Source organism: Homo sapiens, chromosome 18, assembly GCF_000001405.40.
Source record: "Homo sapiens chromosome 18, GRCh38.p14 Primary Assembly".
NCBI lineage: Eukaryota > Metazoa > Chordata > Mammalia > Primates > Hominidae > Homo > Homo sapiens.
In genome coordinates this window covers 26,197,653-26,222,822 of record NC_000018.10, presented here as the reverse complement: position 1 = coordinate 26,222,822, position 25,170 = coordinate 26,197,653, and the positions used below count along the sequence as shown (strand labels likewise).

Genomic DNA, 25,170 nt, shown 5'->3' with positions numbered 1-25,170 from the left:
TTCTGCAAACACAGGATTTTATACTTTGTATTATAACACCAATTTTCTTGAATTATATTATTTTCAAAAACCTCTCCTCCCTACCTACCTTCAGTCATTCATCTATGTAATACGTATTGAGTGCTTACTATGAGCTTGGCAATAAAGAATACATCAGTCAGGCTGGGCTCAGTGGCTCATGCCTGTAATGCCAACACTTTGGGAGGCTGAGGAGGGTGGGTCACTTGAGGCCAGGAGTTTGAGACAAGCCTGGCCAACATGGCGAAACTCCATGTTTACAAAAAATACAAAAATTAGCCTGGTGTGGTGGCACGTGCCTGTAGTCCCAGCTACCTGGGAGGCTGAGGCACAAGAATCGCTTGAACCCGGGAGGCAGAGGTTGCAGTGAGCCGAGATCACGCCACTGCATTACAGCATGTAACAGAGTAAGACTCTGTCTCAAAAAAAAAAAAAAAAATAGCTTTAGAGAAGAGAGTGATTGACTGTATCAAATGCAGCAGGTAGGTCAAATAAAATGAGGACTGAGGAGTGCCTGTTCAATAGAGCAACACAGGCATCACTGGTAACTTTGACAAGAGTAGTTAGTCCTGTGGAATGTGGGCGTGAAAGCCTATTTAGAGTACGTTCATGAATGAATGGATGGAAATGTAAAGTTATAATGCAAAGTAGGGGAGAAAAAAATGGGGCCATGGGGGAAGGGATGAGGTCAAGAAAGAGATTTTCTTTGCAATAACTGCATGTTTGTATGCTGATGGCAGTGTTCCAGTAGGGAGGGAAAATTGCTGATAGAGGAATAAAGAGGAATATTTGAATTGTTGGAGCCATGTCCTTGAAGGCAAAAAAAAGGATAAAATCTAGTGCACAAGTGTGCGCCTGTAATCCCAGCTCCCTGGGAAGCTGAGGCAGGAGGATCACTTGAGGACTTTTGAGGTCGTAGTGCACTATAATCCTGCCTGTGATTAGCAACTGCACTGTTGCTGGTGCAACATAGTAAGACCCCCATCGCTAAAAAAAAGTTTTTTTTTAATCTAGTGCACAAGTGGAGGGGTTGAGCTTTGATAAGAGCCATAGACCATTCATCTATGGCAAAAGAAGGGAAGGCAGAGTTCTTGGCTATAGACACTGGTAGATGGATATTTGTGGTGGTGGGAACTTGTGTAAATTCCTTTCTAATCATTCTCCCTTTCTCCAGTCCAATCTATGTCTCCCACTGTTTCTAGGACAATCTTCCTAAAATGCAAATTTAATTATACAGCTCTCCTACTTACCGCTTCTTAACATCCGCCCGTTACCCACAGGATAAAATCTCAAGAAGCATGGCATATAACATTCATTATGATTTGGCACCTATTAAATTGTCCAATCAATTCTACTCTGCCATGTAGCCATGGGCACCTTGTAATGGCAGCATAGAGAACTACAGGAATTTTGCAAATATTCCAAGGTCTCTCTTGACTTCATGACTTTGCATACATTATTTTACTTCTCTTCAAAGACCTTCCCCATGTTCTACCTGGCCAATTCCTATCTGGCTTCAAAAGTCAATAATCTAAGCCTCTCTTCCCCGTCCCATAGCACATTATCATAGCACTCATTATATTGTTATTCAAGTTTTTCTTGCCTATCCTCTCCCATAGCTTAGTGGGCTGTGTCTTGTTAATTTGAGGACGAGAAGAGAGAACCAAATAGTTAGTAGATACCTGACAAAAAGCACTTGTCTGACCCTTTCCTATCCCACTCCCAAGCTTTAGCACCTCAGAGACAGAAATTTTGTCCTGTCTGTGTACCCGTGGTGCCTCCTACAATTCTTCATATAGTAATAGGGGCTTAAATATTTCCGCTTTCTTTTCTCAGTCTATATTTTTATTGGGTGATGGCATTTACCTCCATGACTTAATTTCTATCTGTATGTTTTTGACTTCCTATATCTTTGACCCCAGATATCTCTCCTGGCCTCAAGACCTACACAAACAACTGCCTAGTGTCTTCACCTGGGTGTCCCATAAGTTAAAGCTAAACTTATTACGGTCAGCAGTTGCCTCTCCATATATGCAGACTTCAACCTGCACTTGGTTGAATCTGCAGATATGCAACCCAAGGATACAGAAAACCGGCTGTATCTCATCTTCAAACCTGCTTTTTTTCCTATGGTCCCTATGTCAGTGAACCAGATCAACCTCCCTCCAGTGACCCAAAATGTAAAATTAGGAATTGACCTTAAGCTAGGTGTGGTGGCTCACGCCTGTAATTCCAGCACTTTGGGAGGCCCAGGAGGGCAGATCACCTGAGGTCAGGAGTTGAAGACTGGCCTGGCCAACATGGCGAAACCCCGGCTCTAATAAATATACAAAATTTAGCCGGATGTGGTGGCAGGCACCTGTAATCCCAGCTACTCGGGAGGCTGAGGCAGGGAGAATTGCTCGAACCCAGGAGGCAGAGGTTGCAGTGAGCTGAGATCGAGCCGCTGCTATCCAGCCTGGGCGACAGAGGGAAACTAGCTCAAAAAAAAAAAAAAAGAATTGACCTTGAGTTTTTCCCATTCTTCACTTGTTTCAATCAGTCATTAGATCCTGTCAATCTCGTAATCAATTGTTTAATATCCCTAGAATCCATCAGTCTCTCTCATTCCCACTGTCACTCTCTTAATTCATACCTAAGAATGCTCACTTGAATTATTCTAACTGGGTTCCCTCCACACCTCCAGCCTTGCTCCTTCTTCATTCTGTACTCTAGTCTATTATTTATTTTATTTTATTTTATTTTATTTTGTTTTATTTTTTAGAGACAGAGTCTTTCTCTGTCTCATAGGCTGGAGAACAGTAGTGCCATGATAGCTAACTGCAGCCTGAAAATCCTGGGTTCAAGCAATCACCCACCTCAGCCTCCCAAGTAGCTGGGACTACAGAGTTCACACCACCACATCTACCTAATTTTTTAGTTTGTTTTGTAGACACAGTATTTCATGTTACCCAGGCTGGTCTCGAACTTCTGGCCTCAAACAATCCTCCTGCCTCGGCCTCCCAAAGTGTTGGGATTACAGGGCCAAACCACCATGGCTAGCCAGAGATTTTTATTCAAAATATTTATTTAGCATTAACATTGTAATTAGTCAGTCTTTGAAGTGGTATTATTTTTCTTTCTTAGTAAAAGCAGCCTAAAAAACTTACTAATTTTCATCTGTTTATAATTCCATCATTATTCCTGAATTCTCATTTTTGCATATTACTTCATTTATTTTTGTACAGACAGCAGGGCTCTTGCTTTGTTGCCTAAGCTGGTCTTGAACTCCTGGCCTCAAGAAGTCCTCCTGTTTGAGGCCTCTCAAAGTGCTAGGATTATAGGCATGAACCACCACATCAGGCATTTGCATATTATTTCTAATTCTTGTCCATTTTATGTTTGCTACTATATGCGGTGTATGAATAATTTTGTATGTAATGTAGAACTTAACTTTGCCTAAATAATTTTCCATGCCTAAACATTTAAAGCTGGTCACCTCAATAATTCCCCATTTCTAAAATGTCTTCATAATTATTATTTTATACATAACATTTATTAAACAAGAACACATAATTGTTTGCATGTATAATTACAAATTTTGATAAATGCTGTGCTTTGAAAGAGAATAATAAACAGAATCTAATTTAGATAGGGAGCTAGGGAAGTGTTCCAGGAATTAAAAGAAAGCCTCTGAGACTGACCAGAGTAAGCTGGAGGGCCAGTGGCCTGAATTATGTTGGAGAGGCAGATAGAGGCCTGACTCTTCAGGGTCTTAAAGGATGTGTGATGTGCACATAAAAGCAATTTAAATATTTTAAGCCGAGGAGTAATATGAATTTATTGAATTTTTAAACTTTTCATTTCAAATAATTTCAAATTTAGAGAAGAGTTGCAAGAAGTCCTACTTGCAGCTGGGCACAATGGCTCACACCTGTAATCCCAGCACTTTGAGTAGCTAAGGCAAGAAGATTGCTTGAACCCAGGAGTTTGAGACCAGCCTAGGCAACATAGCAAAACATTTAAAAAACTAGCTGGATGTGGTGGCATGTGCCTGTAGCTCCAGCTACTCGGGAGGCTGAGTTGGAAGGATCACTTGAGCCCAGGAGGTTGAGGCTGCAGTGAGCCCTGATCCTACTACTGCACTCCAGCCTGGATGACAAAGTGAGACCCTGAAAACAAGTGTCCTTTTTTGCAGTCTATTTAGTGCCATGTGCTTCATATTTTTGTCTCACAAAAAATAAATACTACTTACAACTCTCATATATCCTTCACCCAGGTTCACTAATGTTTAACATTTTGATTTGTTTTACCATTTGCTCTTGCTCTCTCTTTCCATGTGTATATATGTGTTTGTGTGTACGTGTATACACACACACAAACACACAATTTTGGTCCTCATTATTTGCAGATTCTGTATTTGTGAATTTGTCTACTTGCCAAAATGTATTCATAACCGCCAAATCAATCATCAATCAAAGGACTTTTGCTGTCTTTTATAGATATGCACAGAGCAGCACAAATTTGAGTTGCCTGATCCGCATATTTCCAGCTGAGACTGAAAAAGGTGACACTCTGCCTCTTATTTTCACTCTTATACTGTAAACAAGCGTCCTTTTTCTGTAGTCTAGTTAGTGCCATGTTTTTCATATTTTTGTGCTTTCTGTTGGTGATTTTGCTGTTTAAAACAGCCCCCAGGCAAAGTGTTGAAGAGCTGTTTAGTGTTCCTAAGTGCAAGGAAGCTGCACTTACAGAGAAATAATACACACGTTAGAGAAGCTTCTTCAAGCGTGAGTTGTAGTGCTGTTGACTGTTAGTTCAATGTTAATGAATCAACAATCTACATTGAATAAGATGTCTTTAAATAGAAACACACATGAAATAAGGTCATGTATTGGTCAGTGGTCAAAAATGTCATGACTAGAGGCTCGAAGGAGCTTAACTATATTTCCTCTAGGAGCAGCAATTCGGTGCTTGCTAATTCAGTGTTGGTTGTGCCTTTACAGAACATAACTACCTTAAATAATAAGAACCAATTTTATACACACCTTTTATCCTGAACTACTTTTAAATAAGTTGTGACATGCCCCTTCCCTTACCCCTAAATACTTCAATATATACATCTTTTTTTATTTTATATTTTGTATATATATATATATATTTTTTTTTTATGGAGTTTCGCTCTGTCACCCAGGCTGAAGTGCAGCAGCACAATCTCAGCTCACTGCAACCTCCGCCTCCTGTGTTCAAGTGATTCTCCTGCCCCAGCCTTCTGAGTAGCTGGGATTACAGGAGTGCACCACAACACCCAGCTAATGTTTTATATTTTTGGTAGAGATGGGGTTTCACCATGTTGGACAGGCTGATCTCGAACTCCTGACCTCAGGTTATCTGCCCACCTCAGTCTCCCAAAGTGCTGGGATTTACAGGCATAAGCCACCCGCCTGGCCAATTTTTTTTTTTTTTAAGAGACAGGATCTCGCTCGCTCTATCTTTCAGGCTGGAGTAGAGTGGCACAATAATGGCTTACTGCAGCATTGACCTCCCAGGTTCGAGCAATCCTCCTACCTCAGCCACCCAACTAGCTGGGACCATGCTTGTGCACCACCATGCCCAGCTAATCTTTTTTTTTTTTTTTTTTTTTTTTGAGATGGGGTTTTGCTATGTTGTGCAGGCTGTTCCCAAACTCCTGGGCTCAAGTTATCCTCCTGCCTCAGCCTCCTAAGGTGCTGGGATTATTGGCATAAGCCACCATGCCCAGCTGAGGTTATGCATTTTGACAGGATACTATATAAATGATGTTGTGACTTTTGTATTACATTAGGAGACATAAGATGTAGGTCTGTCTTACCATTGTTTACGCTAAATGTGGCCATTTGTTTATGATGATATCTGCCAGGATTTTTATGTAAAGTTATTATTTTTCCTCTCTGTAATTAATAATAAACATGTGAAACATATTTGCAATTATGTAAATATCCTGTTCTCCATTAAGATTTTACCTATTAATTTTAGCATCCATTCATGACTCTTGGCTGAATTAATTATCACTATGATGGCTGCAAAATAGTGATTTTTCTAACTCATTTCTTTTACATTGTCAGTTACCATTCTACTAGAAGAAATGGTTTTCAGCAGAGTGCGGTGGCTCATGCCTGCATTCTCAGCACTTTAGGAGGCCAAGGTGGCGGATCACTTGAGCTCAGGAGTTCGAGACCAGCCTGGGCAACATGGTAAAACCCCATCTCTACAAAAAATTTTAAGAAGTTAGCCAGGTGTGGTGGCATGTGCCTGTAGTCCCAACTACTGAGGAAGCTGAGGCAGGAGGATCGTTTGAGTCAGGGAAGTTGAGGCTTCAGTGAGCCAAGATCACACCACTGCACTCCAGCCTGGGCAACAGGGTGAGAATCTGACTCAAAAACAAAATTTTTTTTTTTTTTTGAGATGGAGTCTTGCTCTGTCATCCAGGCTGGAGTGCAGTGGCATGATCTCGGCTCACTGCAATCTCCGCCTCCCAGGTTCAAGTGATTCTCCTGTCTCAGCCTCCCGAGTAGCTGAGATTACAGGCATGCATCACCACGCCTGGCTAATTTTTGTATTTTTAGTAGAGATGGGATTTTGCCATGTTGTTCAGGCTGGTCTCAAACTCCTGGCCTCAAGTGATTCGCCAGCCTCAGCTTCCCAAAGTGCTGGGATTACAGGTGTGAGCCACCGCACCTGACTCAGATGGCAAATTTCAACAATGCAAAACCACAGTGCCAAAAGCACAATCCATAGAGGTAAAACCTATGGATCTTAGCAGTAGATTAAATAAAGTAGCCGAGGGAGTGAATGGTTATGAATGTCTCCAACATTTCTAGCTTAAGAACTTGGGTGGAGGGTGATTTCATGATTTTATTCACAGTGATAGGGAAGACTAGAGGTGAAACAGCTCTGACGGGAAAGATCAAACGGAACTTGAAAGTGAAATGCAGTCTAGGTTTTACGTTACCCCAGTGCCTGCACTTCCTGGCACAGTATAGATGTTACTTGAAGTGATGGGACTGAATGTTATCACTAACAAAGAGAAGGTACGGGGAAGAGAGAAGAACCCACATCAAACCTCAGCATTTAGCAGTAACATAAAAAAAGAAGTCAATAAAGGGAACTGGTAAAGTAGAAGAGGCTGCAGCGGCGGGTGAAAACAAGCAAAAGGAGTGAAGTCAGGAAGCCAAGATGAAAGTGTTTTACTAGATAAAATGCTGACAGACCAGTAGGATTTCAACTTTTTCTCTTCCAGAATGATTCTTTCTGAAGCTAGGGATCTTCTTACTGTTTTTCATTGCTGTATTCTTACAGTGCCTGTCCCATAGTAAGTGCTTAATAAATATTTGCTGACTGACTGAATTTTTTTTTTTTTTGAGATGAAGTTTCTCCCTTTTTCCCCAGGCTGGAGTGCAATGGTGCCATTTCAGCTCACTGCAACCTCCACCTCCTGGGACCAAGTGATTCTCCTGCCTCAGCCTCTGGAGTAACTGGGATTACAGGCATGTGCCAACACACCCGGCTAATTTTGTATTTTCAGTAGAGATGGGGTTTCGCCATGTTGGTCAGGCTGGTCTCGAACTCCTGACCTCAGGTGATCCACCCGCCTCGGCCTCCCAAAATGCTGAGATTACAGGCATGAGCCACCACGCCCAGCCTTGAATGAATAAATTTGTAGATCATGTGTTTTTGTAGTATTATTGCATTGATTATAGCTCCAGAAAAATGTTGAATAATAACAATATCATGCTTTCTAGTCTTGTTCTTGATACATTAGTTTCTCAAGTGGTTTAATTGTTTGTTTGCCTCTCTAAAAAGAAACATTTAATTGTTCTTCCATAGGTAAAAACTTTCTGGCCAGGCATCATTGTGCATGCCTGTAATTCTAGCACTTTGGGAGGCCGAGGCAGAAGGATTACTTGAGCCCGGGAGTTGGAGACCAGCCTGGGCAACATAGCAAGACCCCATCTCTACAAAGAAAAAAACCTTTCTATGGCCCCCTCAGACACCCTACCACACCCTCCCAATGCCTCAAGAGTAAAATCCTAATATAGAATAGAAGTTCCGTCCTGAGATGCGACCTCTGCTTGGCATCACTCTAGCTACCCCTGTCTTCCCACACTGATCTCCTCGTGACACCATGCTCCTCCTGCCAGGCAAGGAGGTAGCTGAAGAGATTTTCCCAAGGAAGTCTTCCTTGACCCTCTTCCCAACAAATGTCCTTCATTGTGCTTCTCTTTTCCTCCTGGTATATTCATTACTTCCCTGTCTTCCCAGAACACTTTAAGTTCCTTAACAAAAGGGCCTGGGTTATTTTACTGTTTAACTTGCAGTTTCTGACACACTACTGTGAGATTTTGTTGTAACTGGGCTAAAACCTCTCAGCTACCATCACCTCTCTTTTATTTTTTCCCAGGTACTGCTCTCCAGAGACACTTCATCTTCTAAGTATCAACAAGTGTTCCATTATATCTTCCCTTTACTGTCAACTAATTCCAGCAAATATACTACATTTTAATTACTTTGTTAGTTGATAAGGTGTGATATCTTTCTTCTATTTTTTAAAGAGGAACTTCTGAATAAGGAAAAAGAAATATTTCAAGTTTTCAAGACTTAAAAGTTGTCAACCTCCCTGCCTCCTACAGCTTTATTATATATTAGACTTAGGTTTAAATTCAGATTTGCAATGTGCTTTAGTGTATCAAAGACTTGCAGAAGACTTGCAGTAAAGCAGCAGTTCTCAACATTTTTATTTATTATTATTATTTTTAATAGAGACAAGGTCTCACCATGTTGCCCAGGCTGGTCTTGAACTCGTTGGCTTAAGTGAGACTCCCACCTTGGTTTCCCAAAGTGCTGGGATTACAGGCATGAGCCACTGGACCTGCCCCTCAAACCTTTTCATCTCGTGAAAATTTTACACTTTTATTTATTTATTTTTATACGTATTTATTTATTTTGAGGTGGAGTCTCGCTCTGTCACCCAGGCTGGAGTGCAGTGGCGTGATCTCGGCTCACTGCAACCTCCGCGTCCCAGGTTCAAGCAATTCTCCTGCTTCAGCCTCCCGAGTAGCTGGTATTATAGGCATGAGCCACCACGCCTGGCTATATTTTTTTTGTATTTTTAGTAGAGATGGGGTTTCACCATGGTGGCCCAGCTGGTCTGGAACTCCTGACCAAATCCACCTGTCTTGGCCTCCCAAAGTGCTGGGATTACAGGCATGAGCCACCACACCAGGCCTATTTTTACACTTTTAAAAGCGTTAACTATTTTCTTTATATGGACTATATCTACCACTATTTACTATGTTAGAAATTAAAACTGAGAAAAGTATAAATTTTTAATTAGTTCATTTTAAAATAACAATACAAGCCTCATTACATGTTCTATAGGTAGGATCCAGTCAGGAGACAGTTATTGCATTAGTTATCTAAAGAGTCATATTTTAACATAAAGAAGTGTTAGCTGGTGGCTGGGTGTGGTGGCTCATGCCTATAATCCCAGCACTTTGGGATGCCAAGGTGGGTTGATCACTTGAGGTCAGGAGTTCAAGACCAACCTGTCAAACATAGCCAAACCCCATCTCTACTAAAAATACAAAAATTAGCTGGGCATGGTGGCGCATACCTGTAATCCCAGCTACTCAGGAGGCTGAAGCACAAGAATCAGTTGAACCCAGGAGGTGGAGGTTGCAGTGAGCTGAGATCACACCACTACACTCCAGCCTGGGCAACAGAGTGAGACTTTGTATTTAAAAAGAAAAAAAAAAAAGATTGGCTAGTAGATGGCAGTTAACTCTAAAAAGGGTAGAAGAGGAGCCCCATGGCATCAAGAAGTGGCAGGTGCAAAAAGGCACATACTCCTTCCAGACAGACAGTGGACAATAAATAAAACCAAAGACTGGAAGAGGGCCATTCCCCAGGGCTGAGGCTTAGACCTCTCGAAGACAGCCTGGAACACTGGCTGGCTGGCTGAAGAAACTTGCCAGACATAATGGCCCATTGCGGGTCTATAAAGCCATTGAAGATGGAGAGAGCTGGCTGGAGGGAGTAAGTGGAGTTCATATGCACTAAATAATAAATAATAATGGAGTACCAGAATCCAGAAGCCAAGTACCAACCTACTGCTCTAGCTCTATGAAACACTTCAGTGACTTCTGTTGACGCAGCTTCACATTTCACCAGTGGGCAAAGAAATGTTTTCAGGACAGGGTCTAGGCTCCACTATCACAAAGGAGAGCAAAGGAAGGTGGCTTTATAGCTGACAGACAAGAAATTGAAAACTAGCACACACATTACCAATATTTTATAACATTTCAGAAAAAATACTTTTAAGCTTTTTTGTTTGTTTGTTTGTTTGTTTGTTTTTCAGATGGAGTCTCGCAGTGTCACCCAGGCTGGAGGGCAATGGCGTGATCTTGGTTCACTGCAACCTCCACCTCCTGGGTTCACCTGATTCTCCTGCCTCAGCCTCCAGAGTAGCTGGGATTACAGGCACACACCACCACACCCGGCTAATTTTTTGTAGTTTTAGTAGAGATGGGGTTTCACTATGCTGGCCAGACTGGTCTTGAACTCCTGACTTTGTGACCCACCCACCTTGGCCTCCCAAAGTGCTGGGATTACAGGTGTGAGCCACCGTGCCCAGCCTTATGTTTTTTTTCATCTGTTTTTTTTTTGTTTTTTGTTTTTGAGACAGGATCTTTACCTAGGCTGGAATGCAGTGGTGCAATCACAGTTTACTGCAGCCTCTAACTCCTGGGCTGAAGTGATTCTCCTTCCTCAGCCTCCCAAGTAGCTGGGACTACAGGTGTGTGCCACCACGCCTGACTAATTTTTTTCTTTTTTTTCGTATTTTTGTAGAGATGGGGGTTTCACCATGTTGCCCAGGCTGGTCTCAAACTACTGAACTGAAGCAATCCTCTCACCTCTGCCTCTCAAAGTGTTGAGATTACAGGCGTGAGCCACCACAACCAGCCTTATAAATATTTTAAATTAAATATGACTATAATTTTCAAAAAAACAGTGAAAGAGTGACATTGTTTTACATTGTTGCAAATATCTTTAATGTCTGGCTTAGTAGAAGACAGCTGGATTGTGTATCTTGATTCTGCATTCACTCTGTTGCAATATATTATTTTAGTTCAAGTATTTGAAGATAATATGGCCTCACACAAACAGGTAGTTGGAAAAAGGAAGAGTATTTTAATAGCCTTTTCAGATTGTTGTGGATGAAATTTTTCCTTATGTTACACCAAAGCTTGACAAGTGGTAGTTTCTTCAAGGTGAATTCCAGTGTAGAAATTGAAATCCTATCTATTAACTTTTCATACTTTGTCACATTGGAGTCCATTGATTACATTAGACCTCTGACTGGATCTTTTACTCATGCATGGTTTTATTGAATTGTGCATGTCTTTGGAAAATATTGATTCACTGAGTTATTCAGATCTTCCAAAGGTTGACATATTTCATTACACAATACCAAAAATTTATTTTTCTCAATAACACCATCAATCTCATCAGCTTTATGTATTGGGAAGCTGTCAGTCTCACAGTAGTATACGGAAGTCTCCCAAAATTCTAAATTTTGCTTAAAATCTTGAACCTTGTCATTGGCAATAAATGCCGTCAGTTGTTTTCTTAACAGTGACAGTTTTATTATTTTCATTTTTGAGTAAATGTTTGCCACATAACCAAGTCTGAGCAAAAATAGTTTGTTGGTTGTTCTTTCAAGTAAGAAACAGTGGTTCATGAAAAAGTGGTTAGTTCAGGTGGCAATTCACACAACCACACAAGGGCCTTTCCTTATATCAGTCATCTTATTGTGTTAAAGAGAACTATTTTATGTGTGCTCCCCACTATATTGCACAGAATATTTAAAATACATGATTTTTTTACTGCTTCATCAAGAATATTTTAAAGTAAAACTGCCTCTGTTTTTAAACTGTGAGTAGTTGGCAGTAAATAATACAATTACTACTATATATGTACAATATGCAGTACTACTCTAAAGTTTGGTGTCTGTATTAGGGTTCTGCAGAGAGAAAGAACAAATAGCATATAAACAGCTGGATAGATAGATAGATAGATAGATCATAGATAGATAGGAAGGGATTTATTAGGGGAATTGGCTCACACAACTATGAGAAGTCCCATGATAGCCACCTGCAAGCTGGCCTCAGAATGGGTTAACTCTCCATCTAAGGCTGAAGGCCTGAGAACCTGGGGAGGCTGCTGGTGCAAGTCCCAGGTCCAAAGACCCGATAACTGGGAATTCAGATGTCCAAGTCAGGAGGAGAAGAGTGTCCCAGTTCCAGATGAGAGTGAATTCGCCTTTCCTCTGCCTTTTTGTTTTATCTGATTTGCAGCTCATTGGTGTCCACCCACATTGGTGAGAGCAGATCTTCTTTACTCAATCCACTGATTCAAATGCTACTCTCTTTCCAGAAACAGCTCACAGACACACCCATAAAAAATGGTGTATCAGCTCTTTTGGCTTCCCTTCACCCAGCCAAATTGACATCTAAAATTAACCATTGCTGGGCACGGTGGCTCAAGCCTATAATCCCAGCACTTTGGGAGGCCTAGGTGGGAGGATCACTTGAGCCCAGGAGTTGAAGACCAGTCTGGGCAATATAATGAAACCCCGTCTCTACAAAAAATTTTTAAAAATTAGCTGGGTTTGGTGGCACACACCTGTAGTCACAGCTGTTGTTGAAGGTGGATGTGGGTGGGGGCAGTGGGCAGGTGGAGGTGCTGAGGCAGGAGGATCACTTGAGCCTAGGATGTCAAGGCTACAATGAGTCGTGAATGCGCCACTGCACTGCAGCCTGGACAACAAAGCAAGACTCTGTCTCAAAATAATAATAATAGGCCAGGCACAGTGGCTCACGCCTGTAATTCCAGCACTTTGGGAGGCCGAGGTGGGCGGATCATGAGGTCAGGAGATCAAGACCACGGTGAAACCCCGTCTCTACTAAAAATACAAAAAAAAAGTAGCCGGGCACGGTGGCAGGTGCTGTAGTCCCAGCTACTCAGGAGACTGAGGCCAGAGAATGGCGTGAACCCAGAAGGCGGAGCTTGCAGCGAGCCGAGATCGCGCCACTGCACTCCACTCCAACCTGGGGGTCAGAGCAAGACTCTGTCTCAAAATAATAATAATAATAATAATAATAATAATAATAATAATAATAATAATGATGATGAAACTAACCATCACATGTCATTGCCTTAACGTTCTAATGCTCCAGCAATATAAACCACTATTGCCTTTATACCATCAGTAGAAATGTAATGCCACATACTGTTTTTTCCACATAGTGAAAAAAGCAAACATCTTAGTATTGTATGAAAATAATTAAGACCCTCATGTACTTCATGAAATGGACTCAGATACCTGGGGGTAGACAGACCACATTTTGATAACCTCTACAGTAAAGAAAACTGCTTTACTTTGTTTGTTTTGTTTTTTGAGACAAGGTCTCACTCTGTGGACCAGGCTGGGTGACTTAGTGCAGCCTGGAACTCTTGGGCTCAAGCCACCTTCCCACTTTAGCCTTTAGAGTAGCTGGAACTAGAGGCGTGAGCTACCACACCCAGCCTGCTTTACTTTCTTTAAGACAATGTTTCACAAATTTCGCCAACCAGGAACATTTGATCAAATGACATTGCACAAGAAGTTTTAGGAAGATAAGCTTTGGGAAACTGCTGAGGCTGCTCCTTTGCCAAATAGCATACATTTTCCCACCAAAGCCAGTTTGTTTTGTTTGTTTTTTGAGACAGAGTCTCACTCTATTACCCAGGCTGGAGTGCAGTGGCATGATCTCAGTGCACTGCAACTTCCGTCTCCTGGGTTCAAGTGATTTGTCTACCTCAGCCTCCCAGGTAGCTGGGATTACAGGTGTGTGCCACCTCGCCCAGATAATCTTTGTATTTTAGTAGAGATGGGGTTTTGCCATGTTGGCCAGGCTGGTCTCCAACTCCTGACCTCAGGTGATCTGCCTGCCTTGGCCTCCCCAAGTGCTGAGATTACAAGCGTGAGCCACTGCGCCTGGCCAAAAAGACAGTTCTTAATAAGGATAACCTTTTTTTTTTTTTGAGACAGAGTAGTTTCACTCCTGTCACCCAGGCTGGAGTGCAATGGCACATTCTCAGCTAACTGCAACCTCCGATCCCCAGGTTCAAGCGATTCTCTTGCCTCAGCCTCCTGAGTAGCTGGGATTACAGGCTCGCCCCACCATGCCCAGCTGTTTTTTGTATTTTTAGTAGAGACAGGGTTTCTTCATGTTGGCTGGGCTGGTCTCGAATGCCTGACCTCAGGTGATCCACCCGCCTCAACCTCCCAAAGTGTTGGGATTACAGGCATGAACCACTGGGCCCGGCCAGGACAACCTTTTTAATGAGCTGCACACCTTTCCTGTCAAAAAGAATAATCCATCCCCACTCCCTTCTTTTTCTTCAGGGAGTGAATAACACTCCCTGCCTAACACTTAATCAAGTTAAAGCTTGCTTTTTCAGTAATCATTCACTGAGGCCCCGACTCTAAGATTACAGATCTGAGCGTGAGATGCTCACAATCTAACAGGAGATACAAATATGATAGGATTACTAGACAATGTGACACAGGTTACAACAAAGAGGTCAGGCCTCTAACTGAGCCTGAGAATAGGCACCTTGGAGGAGGATTATTGTGGTGAGTCATGAGACATTTCCACAGTCTGCTTCATAAAAAGGAAGAGAAAAAGAAGTCTTTTCAGGGTCAGGCATGGTGGCTCACTCCTGTAATCCCAGCACTTTGGGAGGCCAAGGCAGGAGGATCACCTGAGTCCAGGAGCTTGAGACGAGCCTGGGCAACATAGTGAAAACTTGTCTCTACAGAAAATAAACGAAATTAGCTGGGTGTGTGGTGCATGCCTGTAGTCCTAGTTATTTGAGAGGCTGAAGTGGGAGGATTGCTTGAGCCCAGGAGTTTGAGGTTGCAGTGATGTGTGATCGTGCCACTGCATTCCAACATGGGTGACATAGTGAGAACTTGTCTCAAAAAAAAAAAAAGTATTTTCAATGAGAGAAGCATGTGTGTGTTACACAAGTAAGTCATGATGCCTGCTCCATCCACAGTCCCTTGCAAAAGAACCGTTTTAGTGACACAAAGGACATCCCCAGCTGGGACCACTTGACCCTATACTGCTGTCACTGCTGTCTGGACAAACAATAGGATGCAGTCCCAAGGACAGCCAATCCTTTGACTGACCACAGTGACCCTGATACAAAAAATATCAGCCGGTCTAAGCACATTTACTCTTTGTAGAATTGGAACTGGAGACTTTGGAAAGAGGAGGAGAGTTAACTATGAAAGGTTGGCTGGGCTTAGTGGCTCACACCTGTAATCTCAGCAATTTGGGAGGCCGAGGTGGGTGGATCACCTGAGGTCAAGAGTTCCAGACCAGCCTGTCTAACAAGGTGAAACCCTGTCTCTACTAAGAATACAAAAGAACCAGCTGATGTGGTGGCAGGCGCCTGTAATCCTGGCTACTCAGGAGACTGAGGCAGGAGAATTGCTTGAATCTGGGAGGCAGAGGTTGCAGTGAGCCAAGATGGTGCCACTGCACTCCAGACTGGGCAACACAGTGAGATTCTGTCTCAAAAAAAAAAAAAAAAATGCTGAAGCTACATGATCAAAATTCAATAGAAGCTAAAGAGACCATGATGCATATGTATATGTTAGAAAGTTATAAAAAGAAGAAGCTATGAGTTGGCATAGGCAATAAGTTAAAGAAATAAAATGAGGCTGACAAAGTCAGATATGGTAAGGAAAGAAAAACAGAACAGATGTGTAGAAAGGAACTAATCCTGTTATTGCTTCAATATTACAGTTAAAATCCAAAAGCTCTTGATGCTGACATTTCTAAGGTTGCTAGGGTTGCCAGTTCCTAGCAGGCAAAACAATGCCACAGTTTACAGTTTTGTATTTCTTCACAAGAACCTTTATTTCCTTGTGTCCTTGAGGTCACTTGAGTTAACCTTTGTTTCTTTCAACCAAAAGATCTCAACTGAAATAGGCATAGAGAAAACATGATGCAGCAAAATGCAAGTACCATGCCTGAATTAGATGGTCTTGAATTGTCCCTGAATTCCTAGTGCAGCCAGGCCAACCTCATATGCATGATCGCTCACCTGTTTTATGTATTTCAAAGAAAGGATTGTACTTCACCAAATAAATGTTATTTGGGGAACTTTTTTTCAATAGAAAATGTGCTACTTTATTAAAATACTGAGTTTATTTCGCATGTATATTTTTGTCTCCCCACCATTTCTATGTCTGACCCCCACTACTACTATGTCCTATCATAATATTCCATACATACTTAAAACCAAGTAAAGGCTGGAGTTCCATCTTTAAAAACTAGGCTGGGCATGGTGGCTCATGCTTGTAATCCCAACACTTTGGGAGGCCGAGGCGGGCGGATCACGAGGTCAGGAGTTCGAGACCAGCTTTGCCAACATGGTGAAACCTTGTCTCTACTAAAAATACAAAAAGTAGCTGGATGTGGTGGTGAGTGCCTGTAATCCCAGCTACTCAGGAGGAGACTGAGGCAGGAGAATCATTTGAACCCGGGAGGCAGAGGTTGCAGTGAGCCGAGATGGCACCATTGCACTCCAGCCTGGGTGACAGGGCGAGACTCCGTCTCAAAAAACAAACAAACAAACAACAACAAAAAAAAACTAAACAGGCATTTTGGACAGCACATTATTGGCCATGGAACCTGGGCAACATTTATTAACGCAGTAGGGAAAGTTCTCATTCTGCATTATAAAAGGACAGCCAAATATCAACTATTACAGAAGTGAAATAAGACGGAAAACTTATAAAAAACTGTTTAAACTATTTTCTTCAAGAGGCTTCCTCCGCTGCCAGAGATCTTGAATAGCCTCCTGGTCAGTCTTCCGGAAGCAATTCTTCACATAATTGATGAACTTGGCTTCGACTTTGGAAAGAGAACCACGTTTTTCTGTACCTGCGTTTTTGCTTTAATGTCTTTTACAGAACTAGGTCTTTTGGTGTTTTAGGAGTTTTTTTCCTGTTTTTTGAAAGATTCTTGTCTTTTTTATCTTGGTGTTGATGGTTTTGAGTCTTTGCCATTCTGGTTTGAATTTTGGGTGTTCTCGGCAGAAGTGTCTCATATACATTTATTCACTGGCACTTTTTCTTCAGTTTCCTCATCATCAAAATCCTCTTCTTCCTCTTCCTCTTCCACCTCCTCCTCTTCCTCCTCATCCTCTTCCTCCTCCTCCTCTTCTTCTTCTCCTCCTTCTTCTTCTTTCTTCTTCCTTCTTTCCTCCTCCTCCTCTTTCTTCTTCCTCTTCAGCAGCAGCAAATTTTACTCTTTTTTGTGGAATCTTGCTTCCACCTCCAGGGCAGATTGCTTTCCAGATATACTTAAGAGTTTCACATCCTCCTCTTCTTCATCTTCTGACTCTGCATCTTCCTCCACAGATACTAAGTGCTGTCCACTAATATACACTGGCCCTGAACCACACTTCAACTGAAAGACCATGGCTGGGTTATTTCAAAGTCCATACTTCAACAGTAAGACCATGGAGGGGTGTTATTTCAAAGTCCACACTTCAACTGTAAGACCATGGAGGGGTGTTATTTCAAAGCTCCCAGGGGAAGCCGTTGGCTGTATATACACTTCAAGTTGCCGGTGTTACTTTAATGGGATTGCCTTCGAAATTCATTGCCTCAGGTTCAACAATGTGCAATTCAACCTTTGCACCAGCCCCGAAACTGACCATTCTTAAAGACAACTGGTGCTCATTTTCATCATTATCCACCTTAAAGTGATCACTTCGTCGGCCTTTAGTTCACAACTGAAAAGATAGTCCTGGGGCCTCAGGGGGCTTATGTCCATGTCCATCGAATTTCCCATGGGGTGGAGGCGTGCACTTAGTGGGGAGAGAAGATGGACAGAGATAAACGACTACTGCTCCAGAGAGCAGCTGCTCAGGATGGAATCACCTATTTGGGGAACTTTTCAAAACCTCTTTTCCTATTGTTTTCTCCATTATAAATAAATATAAGTGCTACAATAGATTAAAAAATAAATCTTCTTAGCCAGTAATTTCATATATTTTTTAAGTGAGAGGCATAAAGCAGCTGGCATCTGATTTTGAATTTTTATTTTTTTTAAGACGGAATCTTGCTCTGTCGCCCAGGCTGGAGTGTAGAGGCACAATCTTGGTTCACTGCAACCTCTGCCTCCTGGGTTCAAGCAATTCTCATGCCTCAGCCTCCCAAGTAGCTGGGATTACAGGCACCCACCACCACTCCTGGCTAATTTTTGTATTTTTAGTAGAGATGGGGTTTCACCATATTGGCCAGGTTGGTCTCAAACTCCTGACCTCAGGTGATCCACCCACCTTGGCCTCCAAAGTGCCAGGATTACAGGCGTGAGCCACCACACCCAGCCTGATTTTGAATTTTTTAAGTTTTAATCTAAATGAATGGTTTTCTGCTATTTATTCAATGAGTATCTATTAAGTGTCTACTATGTGCTAGGAGCTCTTCCAGGCACTGGCCATATACCAGTGAATAAAATGACATGGAACTTACAGTTGAAATGGGGGGAATAGTCAGTAAACACATGCATACATGTATTTCACAAACACATATTTCAGGTGTTATTAGGTATTGGGGATGCGAGGTCTATCTTATGTATTGTGGTCAGAAAAATCCTGTCTAATAAGGTGATATTTGTGCAACAAGTGAAAGAAAGTCATGCCAGTATGGGGTGAGGCAGAGTGATCCAAGCAGAGTAGACAGTGCCAAGGCCCTGGGGCAGGAGCATGCCTCAGGGAGCAGGGAACAGCAGGGAGGCCAGTGTGGCTGCAGCTGAGGGAGGGAGAGGAGGAATGGCAAGAGATAAACAAAGAGGTGTGTGTGTATCAAAGGGGTGGACAAGATCACAAAGGCCGAAGTACAGGCTGCATGTAGATTTATCCTAAATACTTAGCTAATGAGATCTAGTAAGTTTGCAGGTGATGCTAGTGCGTCCTTGGTATCATCCGGGAGCTTAACAGAAAAGACTATTGGATTACACTCCAGGTCTATAGAGTCAGAATCTGCATTTTAAACAAGATCCTCAGACATTTGTATATACATTAAAGTATAAAAAGCACTAGTTTAGATTATGTAAGTTAGCTTTCTTCTACAGAGAAATAGGAAGCCATAATTAGCATTTTTTCTTTTCTTTCTTTCTTTTTTTTTTTTTTGCCACAAGGTCTCACTCTGTCACCCAGGCAAGAGTGCAGTGGTATGATCTTGGCTCACTGCAACCTCCACCTCCCGGATTCAGGCGATTCTCCTGCCTCAGCCTCCTGAGTAGGTGGGATTACAGGCATGTGCCACCATGCCCAGCTAATTTTTATATTTTTAGTAGAGACGGGGTCTTGCCATGTTGCCAGCTGGTCTTGAACTCCTGACCTCAAGTGATCCGCCTGCCTTGGCCTCCCAAAGTGCTAGGATTACAGGCATGAGTCACATGCCCAGCCACTAAATTTGTTTTTAATTTTTATTTGAGACAAGTTCTCACTCTGTTGCCCAGGCTGGAGTGCAGTGGTGCAATCACAACTCACTGCAGCCTCAACCTCCCCGGGCTCAAGTGATCCTCCCACCTCATCCTCCCACCTCAGCTTCTCAAGTAGCTGGGACTACAGGTGCACTTCACCACACCCAGCTAATTTTTGTATTTTTTGTTGAGATAGGGTTTTGCCATGTTCCCCAGGCTGGTCTCAAACTCCTAGGCTCAGCAATTTGCCTGCTTTGGCCTCCCAAAGTGCTGGAATCACAGGCATGAGTCATCACGCTAGGCCAGCACTTTTTCTTAATTTTCAGATTAGAATGGATTTTTTGATTTTTGCAAAAACATCATTGGGATTTTGATAGGGGTGGTATTGAATCTACAGATTCAATACCTATGAACACAGAATGTCTTTCTGTGGGGAAAAGCAAGAGAGATCAGATTGTTACTGTGTCTGTGTAGAAAGAAGTAGACATAGGAGACTCCATTTTGTTCTGTACTAAGAAAAATTCTTCTGCCTTGAGATTCTGTTAATCTATGACCTTACGCCCAACCCCGTGCTCTCTGAAACATGTGCTGTGTCAAACTCAGGGTTAAATGGATTAAGGGCGGTGCAAGATGTGCTTTGTTAAACTGATGCTTGAAGGCAGCATGCTCCTTAAGAGTCATCACTGCTCCCTAATCTCAAGTACCCAGGGACACAAAAACTGTGGAAGGCTGCAGGGACCTCTGCCTAGGAAAGCCAGGTATTGTCCAAGGTTTCTCCCCATGTGATAGTCTGAAATATGGCCTCGTGGGAAGGGAAAGACCTGACCGTCCCCCAGCCCGACACCCATAAAGGGTCTGTGCTGAGGAGGATTAGTATAAGAGGAAGGCATGCCTCTTGCAGTTGAGACAAGAGGAAGGCATCTGTCTCCTGCCCGTCCCTGGGCAATGGAATGTCTTGGTAAAAACCCGATTGTACGTTCCATCTACTGAGATAGGGAAAAACCGCCTTAGGGCTGGAGGTGGGACATGCGGGCAGCAATACTGCTTTGTAAAGCGTTGAGATGTTTATGTGTATGCATATCTAAAAGCACAGCACTTGATTCTTTACCTTGTCTATGATGCAAAGACCTCTGTTCACGTGTTTGTCTGCTGACCCTCTCCCTACTGTTGTCTTGTGACCCTGACACATCCCCCTCTCAGAGAAACACCCACGAATGATCAATAAATACTAAGGGAACTCAGAGGCTGGCGGTATCCTCCATATGCTGAACGCTGGTTCCCTGGGCCCCCTTATTTCTTTCTCTATACTTTGTCTCTGTGTCTTTTTCTTTTCCAAGTCTCTCGTTCCACCTAACGAGAAACACCCACAGGTGTGGAGGGGCAACCCACCCCTTCATCTTTCTATTTATTTGTGGTTACTTTAATTTCTTTCAGCAATGTTTTGTATTTTTCAGTGGGTAAGTCTTTTGCTTCCTCGGTTAAGTTTATTCCTAAGTATTTTTTTATGCTATTATAAATGGAATTGCTTTTTTTTTTTTTTGACAGAATCTCTCTGTCACCCAGGCTGGAGTGCAGTGGCACAATCTAGGCTCACTGCAATCTCTGCCTCCCAGGTTCAAGTGATTCTCCTGCCTCAGCCTCCCAAGTAGGAATTGCTTTCTTAATTTCCTTTTTGGATTGGTCATCGTTAATGTATAGAAATGCAACTAATTTTTGCATGCTGATTTTGTATCCTGTCACTTTGCTGAATTTGTCTATTAGTACTAGAATTAATAAACAAATATCATCTGTAAATAATTTTACTTCCTACTTTCCAATTGGGATGTCTTTTATTTCTTTTCTTGCCTAATTACTTTGGCTAGAACTTACTATACTATTCATCATATACTATGACGAATAAAAGTGGCAAAAGCAGGCATCCTTTATTTTATAGGAAAAGTTTTTAGTTTTTCACCATTGAGTATGATGTTAGTTTTGGGCTTGCCAAAAATGTCCTTTATGATGTTGAGGAAGTTCCGTTCTCTCTTTAACTGACTGTTTTTGTTGTTGTTGTTGTTTGTTTGTTTTAAGTCACAATTGATCCTCCAAACTCTTTTCCTATCTGGTGGCTTAATACAGATAGACACAGAAATCTCATGAATGTTTGAAAATGGCAGAGCCACAGCAGAGCGCGATGGCTTATGCCTGTAATCCCAGCACTTTGGGAGGCCGAGGCAGGCAGATCACAAGGTCAGGAGATCGAGATCATCCTGGCTAACACAGTGAAACCGTGTCTCTACTAAAAATACAAAAAATTAGCCAGGCATGGTGGCGGGCACCTGTAGTACCAGCTATTCAGGAGGCTGAGGCAGGAGAATTGCTTGAACCCGGGAGGTGGGGGTTGCAGTGAGCCGAGATTGTGCCACTGCACTCCAGCCTGGGCAACAGAGCAAGACTCCATCTCAAAAAAAAAAAAAAAAGAAAAAAAAGAAAATGGCAGAGCCACAAAATGGAAGGGGAGCATTTCCTAGATTTTGGCTTAGAGGATTTCTCTCTACCAGCAATAGGATTTCATATTGAGAAATAAACTTCCATTGTGTAGGTTAATCTATTACAGTAGCTAGCATTACCTTAATACATAGGCAAAAGGGTAATTTCCCAAATAAATAAAAAGCTCCTACAAAGAAATGGATTTTTAAAAAAAGAAAAGAAAAAAGAAGCTCTTACAAATCAATAAGAAAAAAGACCAAAAACTCACAGGAAAATTAAACAAAGGATGTCAATCACTAACAGAAGGAGAATTCAAAGGCTTTCACACAAACATAAAGATGCTCAGCATCACCTATAGTAACAAAAATGAAAAGCAAAACCATATTGGGATTTTTTAATTTTTATTTTTGAGACAGAGATCTCATTCTGTCACCCGGGCTGCAGTGTAGTAATGAGATCTTGGCTCACTGCAGCCTTCATCTCTTGGGCTCAAGTGATCCTCCCACCTCAGCCTCTAAAGTAGGTGCTATGTGTCTGAATGCCTCCTGTTTCATTGTCAAATATTTGGTCTTCATCTCCCTTTCTGGGGTACAACTCCTAAAATCTTTGGAACCTCCACAGTGATATCTTTTTGTATGCTAATTATTAACTGATGGCTAGCAGCTCTTAGGCAGCTTCAGGATGGGAGCTGGTCACCAGAAAGACCTAGGCAGGATTAGAGGATCGGGACTTTCTGATCTACCACATGACCTCCAGGAAGGGGAGGGGGCTGAAGATTAAATTGATCACCAATGGCCAATCGTTTAATCAATCATGCCTATGTAATGAAGCCTCCATAAAAACCCAAAATAACAGGGTTTGGAGAGCTTCTGGGTAGCTGAACACATGGAGGTTCCTAGATGGTACACGCCCCTTCCCCCAGACCTCATCCTATGTGTCTCTCACTTTTTTTTTTTTTTTTGAGATGGAGTCCCGCTTTGTCATCCAGAGGAAGTGCAATCAATGGCACGATCTCTGCTCACTGCCGGGTTCAAGCGATTCTTCTGCCTCAGCCTCCCGAGTAGCTGAGATTACAGGTTCCCACCACCACGCCCAGCTAATTTTTGTATTCTTAGTAGAGACATGGTTGCATCATGTTGGTCAGGCTGGTCTCAAACTCCTGACCTCAGGTAATCCACCAGCCTCAGCCTCCCAAAGTGTTGGGATTACAGGAGTGATCCCCTGCACCCGGCCTTTTTTTTTTTTTGAGACAGTTTTGCTCTGTCGCCTAGGCTGGAGTGCAGTGGTGTGATCTCAGCTTACTGCAGCCTCGGCCTCCTGGGTTCAAGCGATTGTTGTGCCTCAGCATCCTCAGTAGCTGGGATTACAAGTGTGTGCTACCACACCCAGTTAATTTTTTGTATTTTCAGTAGAGATGGGGGTTTCCCTGTGTTGCCCAGGCTGGTCACCAACTCCTGACTTCAAGTGATCTGCCTGCCTCAGCCTCCCAAAGTGCTGGGATTACAGCTGTGAATCACTGTACCTAGCCCTCATCTTATGTATCTCTTCATCTGGTTATTTATCCTTTAAAATATACTTACATATACTTAAAATATACTTAGTAAAAAATCGGCAAATGTAAGGAAATGTTTCCCTGAGTTCTGTGAGCCACTCTAGCAAATTAATGGAACCCAAAGAGAGGGCTGCAGGAACCACAAACGACGGGTTGGTCAGAAGTTATGGAGGCCTGGACTTGCAACTGGTATCTGAATGGGGTGGGGGGCAGTCTTGGGAATTGAGCCCTTAACCTGTGGGATCTGACATTGTTTCCAGGTAGATAGTGTAGGAATGGAATTGCAGGATGCCTAACTGATGTTTGCTGTGGAATTGATTGCTTGATTGCTGGTGATGAGAAAATTCCCATATATTTGGGGATCACAAGGAGTCTTTTGTATTAACTGTTGTTGTGTTGTTGTGTGAGATAGTTTGCAAATTTCTGTAGGCTTACATATCTGGGAGCTGGATTGCTAGCTAAAAGGCACATACCTCTTTGACTTTGCTAGGTTTCACTCATATGCTGCCCAAAGCAGTTGTCTAGTCTACAATTCTAACAGCAGTAGATAAGAGTTCTTTTGGCTCCACATGCTCACAAACACTTTATACAGTCATTTTAATTTTTGTCAGTCTGATGGCTGTAAAAGAGTATCTCATCTTAGGTATAAATATACATTTCCTTTATTAGTCTGGTAGAACAACATTTAATATTTAATAGGATCCTTATAAGAGAAAATCATTTAGGTTTTTTCTTCTCCTGCCTTGGCCTCCAAACATGCTGGGATTACAGGTGTGAGCCACTGCACCTGGCCTTACCTATGCATTTAAAAGGATATTTGTTAGATCTTATCCAGCATTTCTATACCTGTAGTGAAAGTTTTTTCTACCTACTTAACCATAATCTAATGCTGGAAAGATGAGTTGTTAAGATAATTCCTAAAACCCAATATTTGTGATCATCTCACCTTGGGGATATGAGAGAGAAAAAACATAAAGTACTTGAGTATTGGGGATTTTTCTCTCAGTAAGATAAATAAAAGTAGCATTTTAAATAGGAATAATGTTTGAACTGTTAGAGGTGAACTGTTTACATGCATGATTCATTTTTCTGTTGTATGGTGTATTCCTTTCAATCAGCAGCTCTTTATAAATTCCAGACACACATCTTTTATCATTTATATGTATTACAAACATCTCCTATTTGTAGCCTGTCTTTTCACTTGTGTTATGGTCTCTTTTGATGTAGAAAAATTTACATTAATTTTCAGGTAGTTAAATTATCAATCTTTTCCTTAAGTATTGACACTTTTCATCTTGTCTAGACAATCTGTCCTTACCTCCAGGATCGTAAAGATATTTTTCTATATTGTCTTCTAAAGTTTTAAAGTTTAATTTTTTATATTTAGGTCTTTAATCTACCTGAAATTGATTTTTTAAAATAGTATTAAGTACAGGTTAAATTTTTTTTTTTTTTTTTGAGAGGGAGTCTCGCTCTGTAGCCCAGGCTGGAGTGCAGTGGCGCGGTCTCGGCTCACTGCAAGCTCCGCCTCCAGGGTTCACGCCATTCTCCTGCCTC

The 25,170-nt window shown here is 42.1% G+C and overlaps 1 pseudogene, besides 1 other annotated feature; it reads right to left on the bottom strand.

The window, feature by feature from the left end:
* Positions 15,142-15,318: a silencer, noted in NCBI's record as "fragment chr18:23787469-23787645 (GRCh37/hg19 assembly coordinates)". NCBI's record gives its function as "represses an EF-1alpha promoter that drives an FKBP-Casp9 reporter gene in an ReSE screen in HepG2 liver carcinoma cells {active_cell/tissue: HepG2}" and the evidence as "EXISTENCE:reporter gene assay evidence [ECO:0000049][PMID:32094911]".
* Positions 16,280-17,970, bottom strand: NPM1P2 (nucleophosmin 1 pseudogene 2; annotated as a pseudogene).